Source organism: Homo sapiens, chromosome 2 (assembly GCF_000001405.40).
Source record: "Homo sapiens chromosome 2, GRCh38.p14 Primary Assembly".
Taxonomy (NCBI): Eukaryota; Metazoa; Chordata; class Mammalia; order Primates; family Hominidae; genus Homo; species Homo sapiens.
Genome location: NC_000002.12, coordinates 20,478,164 through 20,503,249, shown reverse-complemented (window position 1 = coordinate 20,503,249; position 25,086 = coordinate 20,478,164). Strand labels below are relative to the sequence as shown.

General features: G+C 48.2%; 1 long non-coding RNA gene across 1 annotated transcript, besides 1 other annotated feature; it reads left to right on the top strand.

The window, feature by feature from the left end:
• The first annotated feature begins 1,725 nt into the window (after positions 1-1,725).
• On the top strand, positions 1,726-24,625 carry LOC107985856 (uncharacterized). The gene is made up of 4 exons (NR_157978.1): positions 1,726-2,084; positions 14,342-14,512; positions 22,996-23,236; positions 24,295-24,625. It is a non-coding gene; the product is annotated as an uncharacterized LOC107985856 (long non-coding RNA).
• Positions 15,065-15,862: an enhancer, noted in NCBI's record as "NANOG-H3K27ac-H3K4me1 hESC enhancer chr2:20687149-20687946 (GRCh37/hg19 assembly coordinates)". NCBI's record gives its function as "activates a minimal SCP1, AML or CMV promoter by ChIP-STARR-seq in primed H9 embryonic stem cells {active_cell/tissue: H9 hESC(primed)}" and the evidence as "EXISTENCE:reporter gene assay evidence [ECO:0000049][PMID:30033119]".
• Positions 24,626-25,086: the final 461 nt, after the last annotated feature.

Here is a 25,086-nt window from a genome sequence, read left to right as displayed (position 1 = left end):
CATCTGAGCACCCCCTATAATGCAGTCTTGTCATAAACATAGAACCTGAGTCTGATCAAGTCTCTAATCTTACTACGTACCGGTTTAAAAGAAACGCAGGGAATAGCATGGTTAAAGGACACCATGGGAGACAATAATCAAAATCTAGACTCTAAGAAACCCTACAGGACATACCACTTAGTGTCTTTAAATATTTATATACCAGAGAGAGAGAGACAGAGAAAGAGAGAGAGGAATATTTAAGAGATATAGCAACTAATCACAGTATACTTTTGAATCTCAATTCTAACAAACAAGCTGTAATTCCAATAACAAAACCTTTATAAGACAAATCAAGGAAAAGGGAGTACCATCAGTTCTGCTATAACACAACATGTGTGTTCCTAAAATTCCTTGCACTATGCAAAATTCCACAATAGGAACCATGAGGCTTATGGGAAAATGGAGTTAGGGGAACAACGCTTGAAAACTTCATCAGTGACACATTTGAAAAAGAGAGAGAAGTGCTAATAAAAGAGGCAGTGCAGTTTTACACATGTTAAGTGGTTAAGAAAAGCGTAGGTGCTGCAGCCGGGCGTGGTGGCTCACGCCTATAATCCCAGCACTTTGGAAGGCTGAGGCGGGAGGATCACGAGGTCAGGAGATCGACACCATCCTGGCTAACATGGTGAAACTCCGTCTCTACTAAAAAATACGAAAAAAAGAAAAATTATTCGGGCGTTGTGGCAGTCACCTGTAGTCCCAGCTACTTGGGAGACTGAGGCAGGAGAATGGTGTGAACCCGGGAGGCAGGGCTTGCAGTGAGCCGAGATGGCACCACTGCACTCCAGCCTGGGCAACAGAGCAAGACTCTGACTCAAAAATAAAATAAAATAAAATAAAAAATAGAAAAGCATAGGTGCTGCAATAAACATAATACTTAACCCTCAAAAAGCCCAGGAGATTGCTTACGCAAGTCGGGTCTTACAGCTTGTGACGTGATGGAAGGAGGGTGATCTGGCATCTGATAGAATGTTGTAACAACAGATGTGCATGTGTGACTCATGATCATTGTAGGGAAAAGAAAGAGAGATCAGACTGTTACTGTGTCTATGTAGAAAGGAAAGACATAAAAGACTCCATTTTGAAAAAGACCTGTACTTTGAACAATTGTTTTGCTGAGATGTTGTTAATTTGTAGCTTTGCCCCAGCCAGTTTGACCCGACCACTTTGACCCAATCTGGAGCTCACAAAAACATATGTTGTATGAAATCAAGGTTTAAGGGATCTAGGGCTGTGCAGGACGTGCCTTGTTAACAAAATGTTTACAAGCAGTATACATGGTAAAAGTCATCGCCATTCTCTAGTCTCAATAAACCAGGGGCACAATGCACTGCGGAAAGCCACAGGGACCTCTGCCTTTGAAAGCGGGGTATTGTCCAAGGTTTCTCCCCATGTGATAGTCTGAAATATGGCCTCGTGAGATGAGAAAGACCTGACCGTCCCCCAGCCCGACACCCGTAAAGGGTCTGTGCTGAGGTGGATTAGTCAAAGAGGAAAGCCTCTTGCAGGTGAGATAGAGGAAGGCCACTGTCTCCTGCCTGCCCCTGGGAACTGAATGTCTCGGTATAAAACCCGACTGTACATTTGTTCAATTCTGAGATAGGAGAAAAATCGCCCTATGGTGGGAGGAAAGACATGTTTGCAGCAATGCTGCCTTGGTATTCTTTACTCTGCTAAGATATTTGGGTAGAGAGAAACATAAATCTGGCTTACGTGCACATCCAGGCATAGTACCTTCCCTTGAACTTCATTATGACGTAGATTCTATTGCTCACATGTTTGTTGCTGACCTTCTCCTTATTATCACCCTGCCCTCCTACTACATTCCTTTTTGCTGAAATAATGAAGATAATAACCAATAAAAACTGAGGGAACTCAGAGACCGGTGCCGGTGCAGGACCTTGGTATGCTGAGCACCGGTCCCCTGGGCCCACTGTTGTTTTCTCACGTTTTCTCACCTTTCCAAACGTGTCCATGCCTAGAAGCTGGAGACCCCATCCACACTGCAGTACCAGGGATTCTTCCTGGGCAGTGTATAGCAGGTAAGTGTATCTCGCTGCCCAAGGCTAGCAAAGAAGCACCTAAAACTCAGCAGATCCCTGTCTGAATTCCATCTCCCTTTAATCCAGCCCCCACCTCACCTCCAGCTTTCTTATTTGTGGTCATAGCTTTCCATCCCTAGGGAATACTGGCAATTCCCTCAGGGTATTTCAGCCTCCTCTCTGACTCCCTTCTTGGACACACCCAGTTGCATGCACACATGCCTACTAATAAAGATAAATCACAAAATTCTTTCTTTTCTTTTTTTTTTTTTTTTTTTGAGTGAGCCTGGGTCTCACTCTGTCACCCAGGCTGGAGTGCAGTGGTGCAATCTCGGCTCACTGCAACCTCAGCCTCCCGGGTTCAAACAATTCTTCTGCCTCAGCCTCTCAAGTGGCTGGGACTACAGGCACGCACCACCACACCAGGCCATTTTTTTGTATTTTCAGTAGAGACAGGGTTTCACCGTGTTAACAGGATGGTCTCGATCTTCCCACAAATCACAAAATTCTATGAATTCTACCCCCTTCCCCAGTGTTCTCACATTTCTCTCCTTTACTCTTTTATTCCCGCTCCTTTAGTTCAAGTCATCATTTCTCCCTGCACCATTTTAATTGCCTTTTGTTTTCACTTTCCCCACTTCCAATCCAATCCAGTCTCTTTGCTGCAATCAGTGGGATTTTAAATACAAATCTGTTACTCCCCCATTTAAAATCTCCCCTGGGTCCCGTTTCCAGTCTCCTAGAGGACGAGATCTATATTCCTTTGTGCCATTTATGCATCATCAGTTCTTCTTGGACTCGTAGCCTCCCCATTCCTTCCTGCCCCTGGGGGTCTGCTCACCTGTGCCCTTTGGTCTGATGCCCATGCTAGGCAAAGGGAACGGAGTGGCCACGACTCTCACCTGTTAAAATCCTTCGCATCCTCCAAGGCCTATCTCCAATGATACCTACCCCAGAAAGCGTTCCTTATCTCTTTTTCTTCCCACCCTCAATCAAAACCTCTGCCCCTCTGCCTGTCCACAGCCCCTTGACACAAACCACCTTCCACTTTGCAGGTAACCATTTGTGTCCTGGATGTCTGTCCACCCAAGAGGCCATGACTTTGCAAAGGCAAGGCAAGGGCAGTGCTGGATCTCCGGCTCTGCTTCCTCCTCATCATCCAAGGAGAGGTCCTGCCTGCCCTGGCTCCCTGGACATGGGCTTCCAATGGGCTATCACAGCTATTTCCAGGGTAGCAAAATTCCTGGACTAGATGTGGGGTGACTGCTGCTGAACAGAGGTGGGCCCCAGGGTGAAGGACCTTGCTCAGCCTCCCCTCAGTTTGGTCTACCAGGCCCTTGTCAAGCACTCTGCTGGAGTCTGGGGGTACTGATCTTTGGAAATGTCAGTCCTGGAGGCTGAGCTGTTCCCCAGAGCCCTAGAGACCCCTCACCAACTACTTTATTGAGGGACAAGGCAGTAGGCAGGAGTGCTGGGAAATCTGGTTTGCTTGGTATGCCTTCTTGCACACCCACCTCTCCCTGCACCTGGTTCTATTTGTATCTGAGCTTCTCGAACTGCAATAATGATGCAGCCTAGCTGGCTTCTGGAAGCTGGGAGCTGTTGTCAGGCACTCTTCAGTGTGTTCTCTACTTCCAGTAGGAATGTTGGCAAATCCTGCAGGGCCTACAGCCTCATCCAGTTTGCAAGTGCTCTATGGACAAACCCAGATCCCCATGCCCCGCCACTCCTCCCAAGGAGATGTGTGAGTGTCCCCAAGATCTGAACTGCACCAGAGGAGGAATTCCTGGACCCAGCTAGTGCTTCCAGGAGGTGGGCTGGGTGATACCTAAGTGACAGAGGGAAGTAATATGTGGCCCTACCCCCTCCCTAAAGTCTAGCATTTGAAATGTGTTAAAAGTGTGATCTCTGACAAATTAATTTCTTTTCACTTCTATTTTGTTATCTGTAATATGAGGATAATAATAGCATTTTATTCATAAGGTAGTTATAAAGATTAAATGTCATTTCACTCCTACTAGGATGGCTGTAATTTAAAAAAAAGAAAAATAACAAATGTTGGTGAGGATGTAGAGAAATTAGAACCTTGGTGCATTGCTGGCTGAAAAGTAAAATGGTGCATGGCTACCAAGAACAGTTTGGCAGTTATTTAAAAAGTTAACCATAAAGTTACCATGTGAGGCAGCAATTTTACTCCTAAGGATATACACCACAGAACTGAAAACATATGTTCACACAAAAACAGAATATTCATAGTAGTATTATTGATAATTGCCCCAAAGTAGAAACAGCCCAAAATTTCCATCAATTGATGAATGGATAAACAAAATGTGTATATCCATACAATGGACTATTACCCAGCCACAAAGAGGAATGAAGAAGTGATAGATGCTATAATGTGGAAGAACCTTGAAAACATTACGCGAACTAAATTTTAATTATGTGGAAAACAAAAGACCATACACTGTATGATACTATTTATATGAAATATCCAGAATACGCAAATCCATAGAGACCGAAAGTAGATTAGCGATTTCCAGGAATGAGGGAGGAGTGAGCGAGGTGTGACTGCTCATGGGTACAGGGTTCCTTTTTAGGAGTGATGGGAAAGTTCTGGAATTACTGCTGGTGATAGCACAACCATGTGAATATATTTTAAAACCAGAATTGTACACTTTAAAAGGGTGAGTTTTATGGTATTGAATTACATCTCAATTTGTAAAAAGAACAAGATCACACACACACACACACACACACACACACACACACAATTAGATGTGCCAATACCATTCCCGGCCCACAGTAAGTGCTCCATTAATGGGAGTTGGGAGGGTAACATTCGTAAGCCACTGCATTCAGGCACCATCTTTGGGTTTCCTGCTAAAAGGCTGCCCATCAGAATCAGCTGTTAAAGATATTTAACTTGTGTTTTGCTACCTTAGCAAGAAAGTATATTAAAAATGCCCTGGATTTATCCTTGGGAACAGTGGGTCACCTGTCAGGGAAGAATGAGTGGGGTTTCTCTTCTCTGGCATCCATTCATGTACCCTATGGCAGTGGTCTAGGCCTAAATGTAGAGATAGTAGGACCCTGGGGAAAATGGGACAAGGGGACAGAGAAGGGCTCTGGCCCTTGAGGTTCCAGCACCTAAACCAGTGGCAGACTCAAGAGCTGCTGTGGCAGGTGGCCTGCAACAGGACTTCTGGGGGGCACCTGGGGAGAGCCAGGAGCAGTAGCTGTTGGGGAGGACCCATCTTGGCATCATGGCCCGGCAATGACTCACTCGGGTGATGCTCCATCTTCCCCAATCTTCAGGGCATCCAGTAGGAAGTATCGTCACCATTTCTACACCCAACAGTCATTTCCACTAGGCCTCTTGTCACTGCAATAGAGCATAAGCCAGACGTGGGGGTCCACCAAGCTCCTAACAGGGGAGGGGAAAGCCTGGAGCATTTTGTTGAGCTCAGGCTGAGGGGAGCAGCACACCCTAGATTCTCAGATTCACTGGGGCTCCTGCTGCGTCCCCCTTTCCATTCCCTCCACTCTCTCCACTCTGTTCCTTGTTCAGCCCATAACGGCCTCCCCGGGCCACTGGTCAGCCCCCAGTGTGCACGCCCATCCAGCTTTCCTCCACCCTGCAGGTGGACTCACCTCCTGCTCCTGTCCCAACCTAGCTCAAAGCCCTTCCCGACTTCCTCAGCATTCACTTTTGCCACAGCTGCCCTACACACATCCCCTATTTCAGCAGCATTGCCCATAGGAAGGAGTTCAGCTTAAGTCACAAATGCATCAAAATAATAAACGTGTCCTCTTTTCAGTCCCCCGAAAGCACCAGGCACCACGCCGCCTCTGCACTTCTGTCCCCGTTGTTCTTCACCTTGGAAGCCAGCTTCCCCCTCTCCACTTACTCACACCTCGCTGTGGATGAGGACTGAGTGCCTGGCCTCTGCCAACCCCAGCCAGCAATATAGCTGAGGGAGCAGGAGGTTGTCCACTCAGCCCAAGGAAGGAGAGGCCACGCTCAGCCCCATGCGGGGGCTCTGCAGCTACTGCCCTTCGCAGCTGTGCCTGGGGCTCAAGAATGTCCCAGAACCCTCACCCTCCCCTCCTACCCCACCCGGCAAATGGAGTGCTGAGAAGGCACCGCTCCCCCGTGCTCTCCACCACCTCTGCAGACATTGTCCTGCCCTCCCATGTCCCATCCGCCACCCAGCTGGGCTTCAGGACATGGATGATGCTTGGTCTGCAGTCTATACAGTTCCAGAAGATCAAGAAAAACATTCTTGCAGTAGAAAACAGTGTTCTATGTGCAGAAGTTGACAGGTGCTATTGTCACCTTTCAGAGCAATTTGATGCCTTCTGAAACGTGAGTGCCTGTCACTGGAGGAGGAAGTGTTTTTGCCAAGCGTTTGATGCATTTCCAGCAAAGTCACGAAACGCACAAAGCTGCCTAGCAGCGGCCTGCTCCTCAGCCAGCCACCGCTCCAGGCTTCCTTGAGCTTCATGGTGTCCTGAGGGCAACACTGTGTGCCCTGACCCTGCTTTGTCTTCTAGTGGGAGACCTGAACTAGAGTGCCATGAGTCAGCAGGCTCAGTCCGCACTCTTTGCCAGGACATGAGCAGAACTAGGGGGACAACTTCTGCTACATTTGCTTGGAATTGCTTTTGTCTTTTCATCCTAATGAGGTAGAAAGTGGGAGAGGGGCTCCGTGTAGTCTGTCCCCTGAACGTCTCTGCCCCCACACCACTGCCCCACCCCAAACCCAGAGTGGACTCACTCATCCTGGAGCTCAGCCACCCCCACACCTGGAGGGTGGTGGCATGCCACCAGGGACATTAGCTGGACAGTAAAGGCTAGTCTGTCCCTCCCAGCACAGTGAGTCACCAGGCAACGACTAGCTCCTCAACAACAGAAGAGTAGGAATCAGGGATGACCAGTTGTTCTTGCTCCAGTGAATGCCAAAATGCCCCTTGGGGATTCTTGGGCTCTTCTCTAGAAACAGGGAATGTATAATGAGGGCATTGGAATCTCAGAGCCTCTCTGTTAATATAGTAAATGTTTATGAGTATAAACTCTAGAGTCAGTATGCGTGGGTTCAAATTCTACCTCTGCCATTTATGTAAACGCTGTGTGACCTCAGACAGTGATTTGGCTTTTCTGTGCTTAGACTCCCTATCTTTAAAATGAGACTTTTAAAGGTAATAAGGGAGCTCCTCTACTTCTTAAATTTGTCTCAGAACAATTAATATTTAGTATATTAATATATTTTAAAGTAATGTCAAAAACCGCAATTATTTTTGCACTAATCTAATACTTTTAACAATGTCCAGCGCATGGTAAGTACCACAAGTGCTAACTTGCTTTGGGGGAGTTAGACAGAAATCAAGTGCACAGGCTCTTAGAACTTGGGGATAAGTAGCCAGAAAACAAACAAAACAAAAAATTGGGCCAGGTGCAGTGGCTCGTGCCTGTAATACCAGCACTTCAGGAGGCCGAGGCTGGGGGATTGCTTGCGCTCAGGAGTTTGAGACCAGCCTGGGTAACATGGTGAAACCTCATATCTACAAAAAATACAAAACTTAGCTGGGTATGGTGGCATGTACCTGAAGTCTCAGCTACTCGGGAGGCTGAGGCGGGAGGATTGTTCAAACCCAGGAGGTCGAGGCTGCAGTGAGCTGTGATCATGTCACTGACATTGTGCCACTACACTCCAGCCTGGGCAGCAGAGCAAAAAAAAAAAAAAAAATGAAGATTAATGGATTTTGGATCTTGGTTCTGTCCCTTTCTAGCTGTGTGACTTTGGGCCAGTTAGTTAAATGCTTTGTGCATCAGTTTTCTCATCTAAAGGGGGCAATGTTACTAGTACTAGAATAGTTAAACGATTAGATGGATGGATATTTAGAAAGTTTAGAGCAATGCCTAGTACTACATTAGCTATTATTACTGTTCTGCATTATTATTATTATTATTATTTTATAGTTTACCTATGAGTATTGTATTATTATTTCTCTGCTATAGGAGAGACACAATTTCAGGGCCCTCATTCCCCAGGCTGTGAGGGGCCTCAGCTGAGGAACAAGGGTCAGACTAGAGCCCCAGAAGGTGGTAATCTCTTTGGCCCTGGAGTGGGGCAGGCCAATGCTCAGTCTGGTCGGAGGGTTCTCATTTGCAATTCTAACAGAAGCAGGGCACTGCTGGATCCTCCAAGGAGGGCAGTACTATTATGAAGTGTGACCCAGGCCATCACCATCCACAAGAAAAGAGCCTGAACTTTGGGGATCAACAGATATGGTTTCAAACTTTGACTCTGTCTCTCAGCAGCCCTGTGACCTTGGACAAGCTGCTTGATTTTCTGAACCTCCATTTCCTCATCTCCAAATGATGGTAGGATCACCTTCCCTGCAGAGGCAGCTACACTCCTGGCCCTGCACTGGTTCAGGAAAAGCAATTCTTTCTTTCCTCATCCCTTACTTGACCTCTTTCAACTCTGTGATTTGGGGCCAGCCGAGGCTGAATTTAGGGAGGAAAGGCTCGTTTCATTTCACTTACTCCCTCAGGACCAAAAGCTGCAGGTCAGAGTCAATTTGACAAACCCAAGAATCCATTTAACATCTTTGATTAAGATCTCAAACCCCCAAGGAAAAGCATCTGTGCTATGATGTGGAGTGTCTATTTCTGAGGCTGTGGTTTTTGTGTTTTTCTTTTTACTTAATCCATGGAATGCATAAATATATGTTAGTGGTATTTAGAAAAAAAGACTTCAAACAATACAGAAGAATTTTGAGTAAAAAGTGAAAGTACCATTCTGCAATGACCATTTTGCAACAAACCTGCTTCCTCTTCCTTACAGAAGAGATCACCATAAATAATTTAGTGTTCAGTCATTCTAGACCTTTTTCTTTTTCCTTTTTTTTTTATTGAGATGGAGTTTCGCTCTTTTTGTCCAGGCTGGAGTGCAATGGCGCAATCTCGGCTCACTGCAACCTCTGCCTCCCAGGTTCAAGCAATTCTCCTGCCTCCGCCTCCTGAGTAGCTGGAATTACAGGCACCCACCACCATGCCCAGCTAATTTTGTATTTTTAGTGGAGATGGGGTTTCACCATGTTGGCCAGGCTGGTCTCGAACTCTTGACCTCAGGTGATCCACCCGCCTTGGCCTCCCAAAGTGCTGGGATTACAGGCATGAGCCACCGCACCGGGCCTCTAGACCTTTTTCTATGTGTGTACAGAGAAATGTAAGTATTACTTTACTTATTTGGATCCTGCGCCATATGCTACTCTAAGACATGTTGCTTCTGTTTAACATGTCTTTGAGAGCCTTCCTTGTTGGCACAAGTTGAGCTGCCTCATTGTTTTTAATGGCTGCATATTATCCATTTGTGTGGATGGACAATTCATTTGCCAGCTCCTCTCCTGTTAAGCATCTAGGGTGTTTGCAACTTCTTGCTCTTATGAATGTGTGTGTGCCTTTGTGCAAATGTGGAAACATTTCTGTAAGAGTTTCCTAGAAATGGAATTCCCAGCCCCAAGGATTGAAGGAGGTACAACTTACTCTACATTATACCTCCTTACTATATTTTATTTTTATTCATAGCATTTATTATAAATAACACTTTCTATTTATTTATTGTCTACTTTTCCCACTAAAATATAATTTTCACAAGAGCAGGTACCTTGTCTGTCTGAATTCAATGCTATATCCCCAATGCCTCGAATAGCTCCTGGCACATAGTAGGGATTCAATACTTATTGAATGAAAAAATTGATAGAAAAGCCAGCATGGTGGCTCACACCTGTAATCCCAGCATTTTGAGAGGCCAAGACAGGAGGGTCATTTGAGGCCAAAGACCAGGAATTCGAGACCAGCCTGGACAACATTGCAAGATTCCTCTACAAAGATTAGCTGGGGCTTGTGTGGTGGCTCATGCTTGTAATTGCAGCACTTTGGGAGGCTGAGGTGGGTGGATCACTTCAGGTCAGGAGTTTGAGACCAGTTTGGCCAACATGGTGAAACCCCGTCTCTACTGGAAATACAAAAAGTAGCCAAGTGTGGTGGCAGGCATCTGTAATCCCAGTCATTTGGGAGGCTGAGGCAGGAGGATCGCTTGAACCCAGGAGACAGAGGTTGTAGTGAGCCAATACCACTGCACTCCAGCCTCGACAACAGAGCAAGACTCTGTCTCAAAAAAAAAAAAAAAAAATTAGCTGAGTGTGGTTGTGCGTGCTTATAGTCCTACCTACTCAGGAGGCTGAGGTGGGAGGATCACTTGAGCCCAGGAATTCAAGGCTGCAGTGAGCTAAAATCAGCCGATGAACTTCCAGCCTGGGCAACAGAGAGAGACCGTGTTTCTTAAAATAATAATAATAATAATAATTAAAAAAGAATAAAAAGCCATGCATTTTTAATGTTGATAGGTGTTGTCAGTTTATTTTCCAAAAGACTGACCAATTTACACTCTACCAAGAGAGTAAGGGACTGTTTACCCTGAACCCTTACCAACACTGGATATTATCAAGTTTTAAATTAATTTTTCTCACTTAATAGGAAAAAAAATGCCATCTCCCCATTAACACCACTGCTTGACAAGTTCTTCCCAAGGCACACCTTGCTCCTCACCATGAGGGGTGAGACTGACTCGGGAAGTTCTGTCTGCAGCGAGTGTGCCCAGAGCCACAGGCCTGGAAGCCAGCCCAAGAGATGGATAAGCAGAGCAGAGGATCCAGGCGGAGCCTGAGCCAGAGCTGCAGCCCAAGGGGGCCCTGGGGTGGGGTCTGGATAATGTCACAGCTGCTCCCGGCAGCTGCCCGCATGACAGCCCATTACCCAAGTGGAGGCAGAAGAGAAGTTGCTACCAGAGAGGGGGCCCTCAGAGAGTGGAAGGGCGGGTCCAGCCGCCCATCAAAGGGAACAGTGTGTGGGCAGAAGGCTGCCTGGCCACGGCCAGGCCCAGCCCCCACAGAGGGATCAGAGCACCCAAGGCCCTGACCGCCTCTGAGTCATTGACCTTCATCTTCAAAGATCCTTCCCTAGAGACTCCTGTGATTCTTCCCTCCCCGAGTGACCTGGTGTCACTGTAAGTGTCTCAAAGTCTTTATTCTCGTTCTGTACCATCTTCCCCTACCCTTCTGCACATCACATGGCTTCCCAGGAGGAACAGTTTCTCCAGGATGGCCCTGTGTCTCTTCAGGGTGATGCCTGCCTGCGACTCCCTCAGCCTGGGGAAGGAGGAGGCTGGGCCTCTCTCTCAGACCCCTGCCTGGGAATCCACCCCTCCGTGGACTTGGAGACCTGCACACTGGCCTGGCTTCCTCAACCCATCTATACCACAGGGAAAAGGGAGTGGGAAGGACTTTCTAGTATAAATGGGACCTTCAACACCTGTGAAAAGAAGGCGGAGGGGAACGGACCTAATGAGCTAATGCAACATGTGGATCTGGTTTAGATTCTGGTTTGAGTAAACCAATCACAAAAGACATTTTTGCAACAATTGCAGAAACACTAATACGGACTATTAGATGATATTAAGGAATTAGTGTTAATTTTGATGGATATGATCACGATATTATGTTTATATAGACAACTGTTTTTGCATTTTAGAGACGCATACTGAAGTATTTAGGGTAAAACGTGTGTCAGTAATATTCTTTAAAATACTCAAGCAAAAAAAAAAGTCAATGAAGCAGATACAGCAAAATGTTAACAATTATTAAATCCAGGTGATGGGTATTGTGGGTTTATTATGTTATCCTCTCAATTTTCTGTATGTTTAATCCTTTTCATAATAAAAATTGTAAGATGGAAGAAGAAAAGGAAGAGAGGGGAAAGGGAAGAGAAGGAGGAGGAGGAGGGAGGGGGGAGGGCCGGCGGAGAAGTGGGAGGAGGAAGAAAGTCATAGACCTCCAGCAGGGTCAGTGTTCTCCACAGGATAGGGCAAGACACCCCAAAGTTGGCCTTGACTTTAACAGTCTTGATTCTAACAATCAGAGGTCCTTGGCTGCTCCTGGCACGGCCCTTCCTGGCAATAGCTTGCCCAGGCTCTCTGAGGGCCCAAGCCCAGCAGGAATGGATCACAGTCCCCAGTGTTGGCTACCTCATTGCTATGAGCTCTGAGATCTGGCCAGGCACATGATACAGGAGGCAGTGCCTTGAGATGTGATGAATTGATTTCAGGCAGAAAACCTGAGGACTTGGCCCAGCAGACCCCCCAGGAAGCTGGAGCCCACGTCATTGGCAGTGCAGCCAAGCATGAGCTAACCTGTCTGTGTTTGCAGCAATCAAGACAGCACGATCCTTCCCAGAAGTCAGAGTTGGCTCGTACAAGCACAAGAGAAGTCATCTGCAGATCCGACAGCAAGAGTGGTCTTGCCAAGCTGGGTCTTTACGGGAATAGCCAGGGCACCACCCACACACACATACCTCGGGCCCCCAGGCTTAGCCCTCCTGGAGAGAGGATGCAGCCCATCGCCATTCACCATCCGGTCTCCAACATGCCTGGAAGCTAGCATCAGCCCTGATGCCTGCAGGGTGCGCAGTGTGAGCTCCCCAGGGGTCTCTGTACCAGGAGTCTGAAGTTCAGTGAAAGATTTCAGAAGTGGGCAAGGTGTTCCTCCTGTTCTGGGTATCCACACACTCAACAAACATTCGCTGAGCACATACTTGTTGCTGTGGCCAACCACTGTCAGACTGAGGGCCACAGGGATGAGTACATTGCAAGCCCTGCCCACTGAGGCTCGCAGTCTGTGGAGGGAACAGCACCAGACTCCGACCAACCCAGACCAACCTGGGAGGGATCAAAGCATGGGGTTCTGCTCTGTGTGGCCTGGCAGGGTGGCAGCACCTCTGCAGCCATGACCAGCACGGGCTAGCAGGCTCCTGGAGAGATGTAACAGAAGATAGAAAGTAGCTGTTCTCGAAGCGTGGCCTCCACACCTCCAGCAGCAGCATCCTCTGGGAACTTAACTAAAAATGCAAATTTCCAGGTCCTGCCCCAAACCTACTACCTTAGTTTGTGATGCTATAAAAAAGTACCATAGACTGGGTGGGTGGCTTATAAAACAACAGAAATTTCATTTTTACAGTTCTGGAGGCTGGTAGCCTGAGATCAGAGTGCCAGCATGGTTAGTGTCTGATGAGGGCCCTCTTTTGGTTGCAGAAAATGGCCTTTTCATTGTAACCTCACATGGCAGAAAGGGGGTGAGAGAGCTCTCTGGGGTCCCTTTCATAAGGGCACTAATCCCATTGGTGAAGTCTCCACCCTCATGACCTGACCACCTCCCAGAGGTCTCATATCCTAATACCATCACATTAGGGGTTAAAATGTCAAAACATGAATTTTGGGCAGGATTGGTGGGGGCAGATATAATCAGTCCATAACACCTGCTATATCAGAAACCGGAACTGGAGCCTAGAACACTGTGTTTAACAAGCCCTCCAGGTGATGCAGGTGCATGTTCAAGTTTGAGAACAGAAGGCTTCACCTACTTGAGGTGTGGCCCGGGTGTGGTGGCTCACACTTGTAATCCTAGCACTTTGGGAGGCTGAGGCAGGCAGATTGTCTGAGCTTAGGAGTTCGAGACCAGCCTGGGCAACATAGTGAAACCCCATCTCTACTAAAATACAAAAAATTAGCCGGGCATAGCAGCATGTGCCAGCAGCTACTCGGGAGGCTGAGGCAGGAGAATCGCTTGAACCTGGGAAGCAGAGGCTGCAGTGAGCTGAGATCGTGCCACTGCACTCCAGCCTGGGCAACAGAGCGAGACTCCATCTCCAACAAAAAAAAAAAAAAAAGAAAAAGAAAAGAAAAAAGAAAAGGGAGTTGTGAGGAAGCAGATTTCAGTTAAAGGGAAAAAACAAACTTTCCAACTGACAGCTGCTAAGCAATGAACCCAACAGCCTCATTCACCCATAGTGAATTCCCATGCCTGGACGTCTGGAATGTAGGCTGGGAATATTCTCCAGGACAGGCTAGGTTATAATGTCCTACTATACAAACAGCCCCCAAATCTCAACAAGCTTAACCCTTGCTCATGCAAAGTCTGCTGCAACTCGGGCAGCCCTCCAGGGCACTGTCTTCTTGCAGTGCCTCGGTGGGCCTGGCTGCTTTGATCTGGGGCTTTGCTGTCTCAACACAGGCACTTGTCTGTGATCAGTCCCGAAAGGGAAGAGGGACTTCCCTCTTCCCTGGGGAATGGCTCAGGGACTTTCACTGCCTCAGCTCAGAATTGTGACAAACATTACTTTTGCTCCTATCTCACAGGTCAGAAATGCCACTCGGCCCCTCGTAACTGCAAAGGGACTGAAAGGTGTGGTCTCCCAGAGGTCCAGGAAGGAAAGAAGCCCTGGGAAGTTTCCCACAAGGCCCAGCTTCTTCTCAAGGAGACTGTGGATAAGGAAAGAAGGCAGGCAAGGCTGCTGTGCTGGAAAGAAGGTAGATTACCTTAAAGATCGTTTCTAAACCTAAGATTCTACTTTTCTATAATTCTCTGGTTCTGAAATGGTTTAAATTGCCAAGTGGTTCTACACTCCTTGGAAGTTCTAAGTTTCTGGGAGGGTTTAGTCATAACTCAGCTCACAACGTGGCCACTGCAGCCCCTTCAGGTCCCTTGGACTCCAGGCCTCTGGCAAGCAGGGCCCAGGGCAGACGAGGGTGCAGTGGGTGCTGCCTTGGGCTGGAAGGGAACGGAGACCTGAGCGGTCCTGGCCCTGGTGAAGGGCAGCGGCTGCGAGCATTCAGACAAGTCTGGGGAAGAAATCAGACTTCTCCCAAGTTGGGCTGAGGAGGAGCAATTACAGCCTTTTCCTAAGGAAGGAAAGAAAAACAGATTTGAGTCTGTATTCCTGGCCCATGAGTCAGTTGTAGAGTATGTCAGCACCTGCAGAGGCTTTAAACTGGGGCTGATCGCAGGAGTGTCGCCCCCACTCCGACCCCTGTCTCCTCACACCCATGGGCCACCCCCCACAACTGTAGGGAGGACACAGCAGTCTAGGAAAGTGCTCTGCCCCTGTTCTTGGGGGCATCCTCCTTGCTGCATCTGGAATGCGACTGACTTAGCAGGGAGCAAGAAGCAGTTGAGCAAATATTCAGGGGCTCCGGAGGCTGGCGGCCCCTGCTGTCCCCATGAAGAGGAGGGGTCACCACCTGACCCAGCTCTGCTGGGCCCCTGGCCACGCTGGGTGCCTTCCCTTCTCCATTTCAGTTAAGATGTCACCATTATGGGAACTCCAGCGGAGAAGTCTCTAATGGGGTCAGAGCCCTGAGCACTAACACTAAATGCTTTAGCCTTCTCCTGGGGACGGATGGCCATTGTTCTTAGTCTGGGTATGTTAAGTTGCTGTGCCCTTTGCTGAAAGATAATTTGCATCTCTGCCCTGAGGGAGAATGAATCACATTGATAATTCTCTTGATTAAAGCCCATTTATTTAGGATCCTGCTTGAGGTTGTTTTTTAATAGATGGATTAGGGAGTAATTCAAAAAAGACAAAAGGGTACAGTAATTGGGTTTCCCCTTGGCCTGCAAATGTTATCATCAGAGAAAGTAGTAAGAGGGGCTAGGACTCACAAGGTTTGGTCAAACGGTTGCCTGGGAAGCCTACAGTGATGAAGGGGGAGGAGAGCAGCCCTGAAGCACAGGGCTAGCTCCATTCAACTTCTCCACCAAGCAAATGGAAAATCCCAAGGCGCGGAGGACTGAAAGGATGAACCACAGGCTGCAAGACCATGACAGAACAGGCAAGGAGCCCTTTTCCCTGCACTGCCAGTGGCTCCATCCCCCAACGGTGCTGCCTCTTTTGCATTTCAGCAACAGAATTTTGCCTGAACCCCCAGGTTATGGGGTGACCTACAAGCCACACTCAAAAGCAGATGAACGGAGAGGCAGAGCCCATGTTAACTTTGCGCCTGGACCCAGACAGGTTGAGGCCCTGAGCCAACAGTCTGGCTTTGAGATGCTGTTGTGAATGTGCTTGGCCAGAAGCCAAGTGAGACCAACCAGACACCCAAGAGGTGGTCTGCAGCCATGGAGGAGGGTTCATCCTGGCCTCAGTAGCCACAACCCTACATCCTACCTAGGGATCTCCAGACCAAGGTGCTCTCACTCTGATGTGTGACCTGGGAAGAGCTCTTCATGTCTCCAGGCCTCAGTCTCCTTAGCTGTACAAAACACTGGTGGGGATAGTTTGGATAGGCCTGTTGGGACACCCTTACCTGCCTTATCAAAAGCTGCAACAAGCATTTTTAAATGCTGCCAAATCTGTCAACACTTCTTGTGCGGCTTGAAGGAGAAGCTCTCAGATCTGATTAAGCTCATCCTCGCAGTGGACTCACTTCTACTGGGCTGGAGACATCCCTCTGGGTATGCCCCTGGAACAGAGCCAAGCTTCCCCTTCCAGGGGAAAGAAGTGGGGCTTATGGAGAAGGCTAGGTTGGCTGTAGGGCTGAGCAGAGGAGCAGGAGGGAGGCTGCCTTCAGGGGCCACAGTTCCTTGCCCAGATGCCTGAATTCTTAAGTCTTTCATTTCATAAAAGATACAAGAAAATGGGGCATCTAGGCAGGACACAGTGGCTCAAGCCTATAATCCCAGCACTTTGGGAGGCCGAGGTGTGTGGCTCACCTGAGGTCAGGAGTTCGAGACCAGCCTGGCCAACATGGTGAAACCCTGTCTCTACTAAAAATACAAAAACTTAGCCAGGCATGGTGGAGTGCACCTGTAATCCCAGCTACTCGGGAGGTTGAGGCAGGAGAATCGCTTGAACCCAGGCGGTGGACATTGCAGTGAGCCGAGATTGTGCCAGTGCACTATAGCCTAGGCAACAGAGTGAGACTCCTTCAAGAAAGGAAAGAAAGAAAAAAAGAAAAGAAAAGAAAAGAAAGAGGGAGGGATGGAGGGAGGGGAGGGAAGGGGAAGGGAGGGGAGGGAAAAAAATAAAATAGGGCATCTAAACCACCACCTTGAAAACACAGAACTGGGGCTGCCCAGGAGTCCACAGGCCCTAAATTTGGGCCAGATCTTTCAAATATCACCATATTAGCTCCATATAATCCCCCTTTCCTATTCCCCTCTCTCTTCTTCTTCTCCTCCTCCTCCTCACTTCCCATTTGGCTGTCCAAAAGCAAATTTAAACAGCCTGATCAGACTTCTAGAGGCTGCAGAAAGCATCTTGGGGCTGCAGATATGAGAATTTGGAAATCAGTTCTGCTGAGCCCCTTAAAAGAGGAAGCTCGCAGGATGCAAGGCTTTCTAGCTGGAAGGATCCTCGTTTCACTCTGGTCAGAAATCTCACAGTGGCCTCCCCAAGAGGCTGTATGACCCCCCAACCCCAGGATCCTTATTGTATGACCCTATCAGGAAGTGCTTCCCTCCGTGTCTCCACATTGGAGACCAAGTCAATACTCCAATGCCATGTGGGGCCAAACCCATCGTGATCAGGAGGCCCTGGTCCCGGGTCCTTCAGCTACGAGGACTCACAGCAGAAATTCAGCTCATTAGAAAGGGGAGTGCTGGGCCATGGGCTGAAGAGAAGGCTCTCAGGTAAAGGGCCTGAGGGAAGGTCTGACCCCTCTATGCACCCAGGAGACTCTGGCAATTCAGCTTCCCTGGGAATAAAGCTGTGAGAGCGCACATCTTCTCAGGAGGGGAGGGAAGGAGCTCTGAGGTCAGCTGAGCCTATGCCTGGCCAGACACAGGCTAGCTGTGACCACAGACAGAGAGCCCAGTGCCAGGCCCACCACGGGCCCAGCTGCCATGACTCTGCACACTCTAATTACATACTGGGACACTAAACTGCATGTCTGGCCCAGAAATCACTGCTTCCTCCAAAGCAGGCTCTCTGAAGGCATTACCTGTCTCGCCCAGCCCAGGTAGAAGGAAGATGGCAAGTTGGTGCAGCCAGGCAAGGGTCTGGATGCATTCTGACTCCCACTCCAGCCCTGTCTGTTTCACACCCCCTCCTCCCCATGCTCCATCTCCCCACTGCTGGGCACACATTCCCCCACCACTGTCTCAGTTCCCCTAGAGCTCAGATTAAAGAAACAGCTGGGGCTTCCATAACAAAATAGCATAGACTGAGTGGCTTAGCAACACAAATTTATTTCTCACCTCTCCAGAGGCTGGAAGTTTCAGATCCAGGTGCCAGAATGTCCGGGCTCTGGTGAGGGCTGTCATCCTGACTGGGAGAGAGCTGCCTTCTCACTGTGTCCTCACGTGGTAGAGAGAGCGTGTTCTGGTCTCTTCCTTTTCTTATAAGGACACTAATCCCATCACGGTGGACTCGCCCTCATGACTCCATCTAAGTGAAATCAGCTCCCCAAGCCCTTACCTCCTAATACCATCACATTTTGGGTTAGGGTTTCAACACATGAATTTTGGGAAGACACAAGCATTCAGTCCATAATAGACCATACCAGCTTGCGGCTTTCTTCCTAAACACACACAGCTCTATCCTGGCCCCGTCTCCTAAGTGCCAGGCCCTCTACTTGTCCTTCCCAATGGATGCGGGAATCAGATGGGGCAAGGATGGATACAAAGTGATCTGCAGAGCCTGGCCACACCTCTTCTGACCCTTGCCACACTGATGACTTTGCCACAGGCCTTACCTGGTTCACTTCCCGCCAGTTCCAACTCTCATCAGATCCGAACAGCTTGTTATTATCTTTCTATTTTGCTGCCATGATGGGTAGCATAGTCCTCATAGCATGCCCCTCAGACATGGCCACAAGTGAGCAGTGCCATCCCTGGCCTCCCTCGGGAGCCTGGCTCCCTCTGCTATAGAAGAGATTGCATGCTCTCACTGGGCTCGGCTTTCATGGCAGTTGAATAAGATGGTGCATGTGCAGACACCTAACACAGCAACTGAGCCCTGGGAGGGTGCTCAGCTACTATCTGTGGAACCCAAGGGGCAGTCTGGGGAAATCCCAGAATAACTGTGCACCCCATCTCTGACTGACTGCCCCTACATGGATCATCTTCCCGGGCCCTGAGACCGGTAGAGGCAGAAATGGTGGGTTCCTCAGCCCTCTGGAACCCTGCCTGCATGAAGTCCAAGTTTCCATGGCCAGCTGGGGTTGGAGGTGCCAACAGAGCAAGGCCCAGGCAAGTCACTTTCCACCCCTGAGCCCCTGACTCTTCATCAGTAAACTGCTGATTTAAAATCCCCTCACCCCAAGACTGGTGGCTGTTCTCTTTAGAAAATGCCAAGAGACTCTGCACAGCAATGGGAACTTTGGTTTCCTCTTGGCTGTCTTGGAAAAGCAAGGAACTAACAGGAGAGAAAAAGAGCAGCCCCAGAAAAGAATGAACCTCATTCAGGGTCTCAGCTTGGTACCCAGACAGACAAGCAGAAGGCCTTTCCAGAAGTTGCCAGAGCCAGGCTTCTAGGCCCTGCTGGGTGGGGAAGGCTTGTGGTTTCTGCTTTTGCTAAGGCAGCAAAGGCCAAGGAGCAATTTAGTTCAGAGACTTGCCTGTGGCTGAGGCTGGCTGAGGGTGTCTGAGAACCCCTTGCCAGGGCACACCCTTGGCAGTTTGGGAGCCAGAGAACAGAGTGTACTCTTGTGAGTTGCTGCATCTCTGTTTTGAAAATTTTGAGTTGGGGTGCAGCCGACCTCCTGTGTCCCTTCATAAATCCTGTTCCACTGTGGATCAGCTTCCTCCCCCATACAGGGAAGGACTGGCCTGGGTGTTCCCTTATAGTTCTAGTTGCACCATTCCAGGTCAGTTTTAGACTTATTAAGAGTAAGAGTACGTGAGCAGACATCTGGACACACACACACATCGGGACATATACCACGCACAGGCCAGCACCTTCACACACAAACATAAACATACAAACACAGGCAGGGATCCCAATTCAGTTTTCAGAAAAATGGAACTCGGCTGGGTGCAGCGTCTCACACCTGTAATGCCGGCACTTTGGGAGGCTGAGGCAGGTGCATCACTTGAGGTCAGGATTTCCAGACCAGCATGGCCAACATGGCAAAATCCCCTCTACTAAAAATTAAAAAATTAGCCAGGCGTGGTGGCACATGTCTGTAATCCCAGCTACTCGGGAGGCTGAAGCAGGAGAATCGCTTGAAACCAGGAGACACAGGTTGCAGTGAGCTGAGATCGTGCCTTCAGCCTGGGCAACACAGAGTGCGACTATATCTTAAAAAAAAAAAAAAAAGAGAAAGAAAGGAACTGAACTCAAATTTTCAGGGCCATTAACATTTTGAAAAATACTTTCCTTCTGCTTTTTGGGATTGAGGCCAGGTTACACTGTTCCCAGGGAGTAAGACAGGGTTACAGAGAGGCAGGTTTTTTTTGTTTTTGTTTTTGTTTTTTTCTTCTCTCTCCCTCTCTTTTGATTTATTGCTTTCCTTAAAAAGAAAAGGAAGTAGGATTAATTTATTCTCAACAGTGAAAAATGCTACCTCTTTCCCAAAGTAGTTGAATTGATTTTGTTCAATATTTGGAGGAGGCCAATTTACCAGGTCTTGATAAAGAGATGAAGGGAGCAGCTCTTGGTTTTTAGCTGTGTCCCTCCCTGTAAGTCAGCAAGGAGGGCAAGCAATGCTGGTCCCCAAACAACCCTCTAGGATGACCCTCTGGACACCAAACTTGACCCTGCCACATTCATTACAGGTCCTGCTAGGGAGAATTGTAGACTCCTAGAAGACCGGGTGGCAGAACACATTAAAATGACAGGTCAAGACCAGAAGGAAGGGCCACCAGAGCCACAGGGGTTCATTTTCCCATGAAAGGTAAAGGAGAGGTCCCTTCAGGTTGAAGTGTTCGGGGAAGAGTTTGTAGAGGAGACGAAATTTTAGCTGGCCTGAAAGCTGTGCCTAGTGACTGGTCAAAAGAAGAGAAGAAGGAATTCCAGGAAAGGGGACCAGCAGGAGTGAAGGCAAGGAGACCTGGACTTCTTTGAAAGGTCTCCTGAGTTCAGGGTCTGAGGAGTGGCCCAATGGGACCACAAAAAAGAGCTTTCTGGGGAGTGATGCAAGAAGAGAGGTTGAACTTCATCCAAAGGGCAATGGGATGAGAGGGGAAGCATTGCAGATATTTAAGTAGAAAAGAGCTACAGGCAACTAATATTTTAAGAGCAGTAACTCTTAAGATGTTGGCAGGGTGACCGGAAAGGGACAAACCCTTTGACCACTTTCACACAAAATCATGCTCAAGAAGCCTTTTCTAAAGGGCCTGGGTAGCGTCAACACCACAAGGTTACAGCTGAGGCTGCCTGATGCCAGCCAGAAAGGTTAACACAGTCTCACATCCTGCTGCTCTTTGTAAGAGCTTGGGATGACACGTTTCTTATTTGCCTGCTCATAATTTTCATTCAACTAAGTATGGAAATACAATATTCACTATTTTTTTCTTTTATTTATTTATTTATTTACTTTTATTTTTTGAGACGGAGTTTCCCTCTTGTTGCCCAGGCTGGAGTGCAATGGCACAATCTCCACTCACTGCAACATCTGCCTCCCCAGTTCAAGCGATTCTCCTGCCTCAGCCTCCCGAGTAGTTAGGATTATAGGAACTTGCCACCATGCCTGGCTAATTTTTTGTATTTTTAGTAGAGACAGGGTTTCACCATGTTGGCCAGGCTGGTCTTGAACTCCTAACTTCAGGTGATCTGCCTGCCTCGGCCTCCCAAAGTGCTGGGCGTGATTACAGGTGTGAACCACCACGCCCAGCCACTTTTTAATTTTTTTAGAGACAGGGTCTTGCTCTGTCATCTAGGCTGGCTCATAGCTCACTGCAGCCTCAAACTCTTGGCCTCAAGCAATCCTCCCACCTTGGCCTCCCAAGTAGCTGGGATTCTGGCATGAGTCACAACACTTGGCAACTATTTTCTTTTTTCATTCAGCATTTTCAATCCGAGTCTGGACCCTCGAAACTATTATCATTAAGACTTTTATTATGACTGGTTTATGCCAACCTCTCCTACAAGAGGGTGAACTTCTCAACAGGCAGAAATGCTCTCCTTCATCTCTGCCTCCCTAACCCCTAGCACAGAGACTGGCCTGTAGCAGAACTAAACAGATGATAAATTGGTCAAATCAGGTAATAGCATCTTAATTACCATGCTATTTGCTCTAGTGGAAGTCTTGTCAATGATTTATTTTGCTTTAGAGGTTAAACTAGAGAAGTTGATATCCTTTATTTACCTTAATAATAAACTTGAACTATCAGGCCCTCTAATCCCGAAATTTTTTATTTTTAAATGTTTTGTAAGACTAGTCAAGTGCAGTAGCGAGAAGGGGGAAAAGTGTAGAACAAGGGGTTCAGTCTGTAACTGACTGTGAACAATCAATGCGATAACTCACTACCTTCAGACCAGCTGTTTTTTGTTTTTTTTGTTTTTTTGTTTTTTTTTGTTTTTTTTCAGTCTTGCTCTGTCGCCAGGCTGGAGTGCAGTGGCGCAATCTCGGCTCACTCCAGCCTCCACTTCCCAGGTTCAAGTGATTATCCTGCCTCAGCTTCCCAAGTAGCTGGGACTACAGGCATGCACCACCACGCCCAGCTAATTTTTGTATTATTAGTAGAGACGGGGTTTCATCATGTTGGCCAGGATGGTCTCGATCTTTTGACCTCATGATCCGCCCCCCTCAGCCTCCCAAAGTGCTGGGATTACAGGCGTGAGCCACTGCGCCTGGCCTGAAATTTTTTTTTTTTTAAGAAAAGGCTAATTCTGGGCTTAAAAAGTATTCAACTGGACATCTGCAGCAGAGAAATTCTTTTAAACAGGTCAGAGCCCAAAGCCCATTGAATAGTTCGTCTGCTTCCAGCCCATGATGACTGAAGCTGAGGACACAGGAATGCCCGTCCTGCCTGCTGGGGATACCACCTTCCTCTAGGCATTGTAAGCCAGGCATTGCAGTAGGTAAAACTGCAAGCCCCCAGCTAATTCTGAAAAACACTCTTGTTGCAGGTGGAGCTCCCCAGAAGCAGACTGCAGAGAACGGAGTGCAGGAAGATTCCCAAAGAGAGCCTCGGGATGAACGCCTACGGAGAAGGTGGCAGTGGGATCAGGCAGATGGAGAGGCTGGCTGCGATGCAGTCACAACCAGGCCTCCACTGAGCCCACGAGGAACCCTGAAACTGGGATGGCCCTTCAGAGTTATCCCCAGCTGGAGCATGGACCAGGCCTTTACATCTTCCCCTTCGATCAGGTAGGCTGCCCCTAAGGCGGGACATAACCTTGGGTAAGGCAGCTGTCCCCAGGGAGGCCAGCAGCAGCAGCAGCAGCAGCAGTCTCCATAACTGGAGATTAAGACCTTCCATCCCGAGTGTGGGTCTCAGCTCAGCCCAGCATCCACTGCAACCTTGAATGACCTGTGCAGCTTCCCAGGTGCATGGAGGACACCTGGGCCTGGAGAGAAGGACTAAGTAGAGTGACTTGGAGAAAGCTCTGCCTTCAAATCTTGGCTCTGCCACTTACCTGCTGTGTCTGTTTAGGTTAATACCAAACTTTCTGAGTCTCAGTTTCTTCATTTGTAAAATGGCAATAATATCCACCTCATAGGGTTTTTAAAAAATCAAAGAAGTATAAAACACGCTCTGGCACAGTCCAATCTTTTGTAAATAGTGCTGGTAATGGGTGACCATAGTAATTGTTGCTATCTCAACAGCCACAGAGGCAAGATGATCCCCTGGTACCTGTGCCAGAACTCCCAGAAGGGAGCTATGCCAAAGTCTAGGTCAAAAGCTAGTAGGTATATGGACTGTTGGGCCCCAGGGGGTCTGAGAGAGTAGCTACTCATCTTCTTAAATCCCAGGCCAGTGTCCTGCTGGGATCAAGGATACTGCTGTAGAGAAGTCATCAGGAAAAAGGACAATACTGGGGAAAGGGGTTTCAGCTGCTCTTGCTGACAGAACACATGGCATCCTCCATGTGCCAGGCACAGAGAGGGTGGAGCCGTGGGCGGGTGGGACAGTCCCTGTGCAGGCTGCGGGCATCTTCATGCTGCTGGCCTGTCCACGGGCTGTGACCACATGACAGATGAGGGGGGCTTAGATTTCTCTGTCTCCTCTTTCAGTTGACAAGTGGAAAGCTACCTAGCTGGGACCCCTTCCAAGCACACGGGAAGTGCAAAACGTAACACCATAACCAAGGCCGAGACTGGATGCTGGAATTCTGACCTTCCCTTTGGGGGATGGATTGGGAACTTCCCTTGGGGGCTGGAGCATTTGGTGGTGCTGAGATTGCTCATTCTTTCCACTCTCCTAGACAGGAGGTCCCATGTGGATTCTGGAATCAGAAAAGCCTGCTTCCTGAGTTTGAATCCAGTCTTCATCCTTCAACTGTGGGACCCTGGACAAGAACCAACATCTTCCAGCAGAGACCACCAAGAACACACTTGTGGTTGAATAAGCCAGGTTTATTAATTACTGCAGTGAGAGAGAATACACACCAGGGTGTCTTAGTAAGAGGGAGTTAGACAAAACCTATGATAGAATTGGGGTTGGTATGAGAGATTTGGGGGGAGGGTAAGTGTATTAGTCCATTTTCACGCTGCTGATGAAGACATACCTGAGACTGGGAAGAAAAAGAGGTTCAATTGGACTTGCAGTTCCACATGGCTGGGGAGGCCTCAGAATCATGGTGGGAGGTGAAAGGCACTTCTTACATGGTGGTGGCAAGAGAAAATGAGCAAGAAGCAAAAATGGAAACCCCTGATAAAACCATCAGATTTTATGAGACTTATTCATTACCACAAGAATAGCACAGGCAAGATCAGCCCCCCATAATTCAATTACCTCCCCCTGGGTCCCTCCCACAACCCATGGGAATTCTGAGAGGTACAATTCAAGTTGAGATTTGGGTGGGGACACGGCCAAACCATATCAGTAAGGAAGTGGCAGTTTACTTTCAATTGGCAGCTGTAAGAAACTGGGGGCAATTCTGTGACGCAGTGTCTCAATAAATCACATCTATAAGGAAGGGAGATGGCAACAAGGATACAGCTGTAGCAGGAAAAGAAGTAACAGTCACTCATTTTGGCCAAGAGGGGGTGTTTGG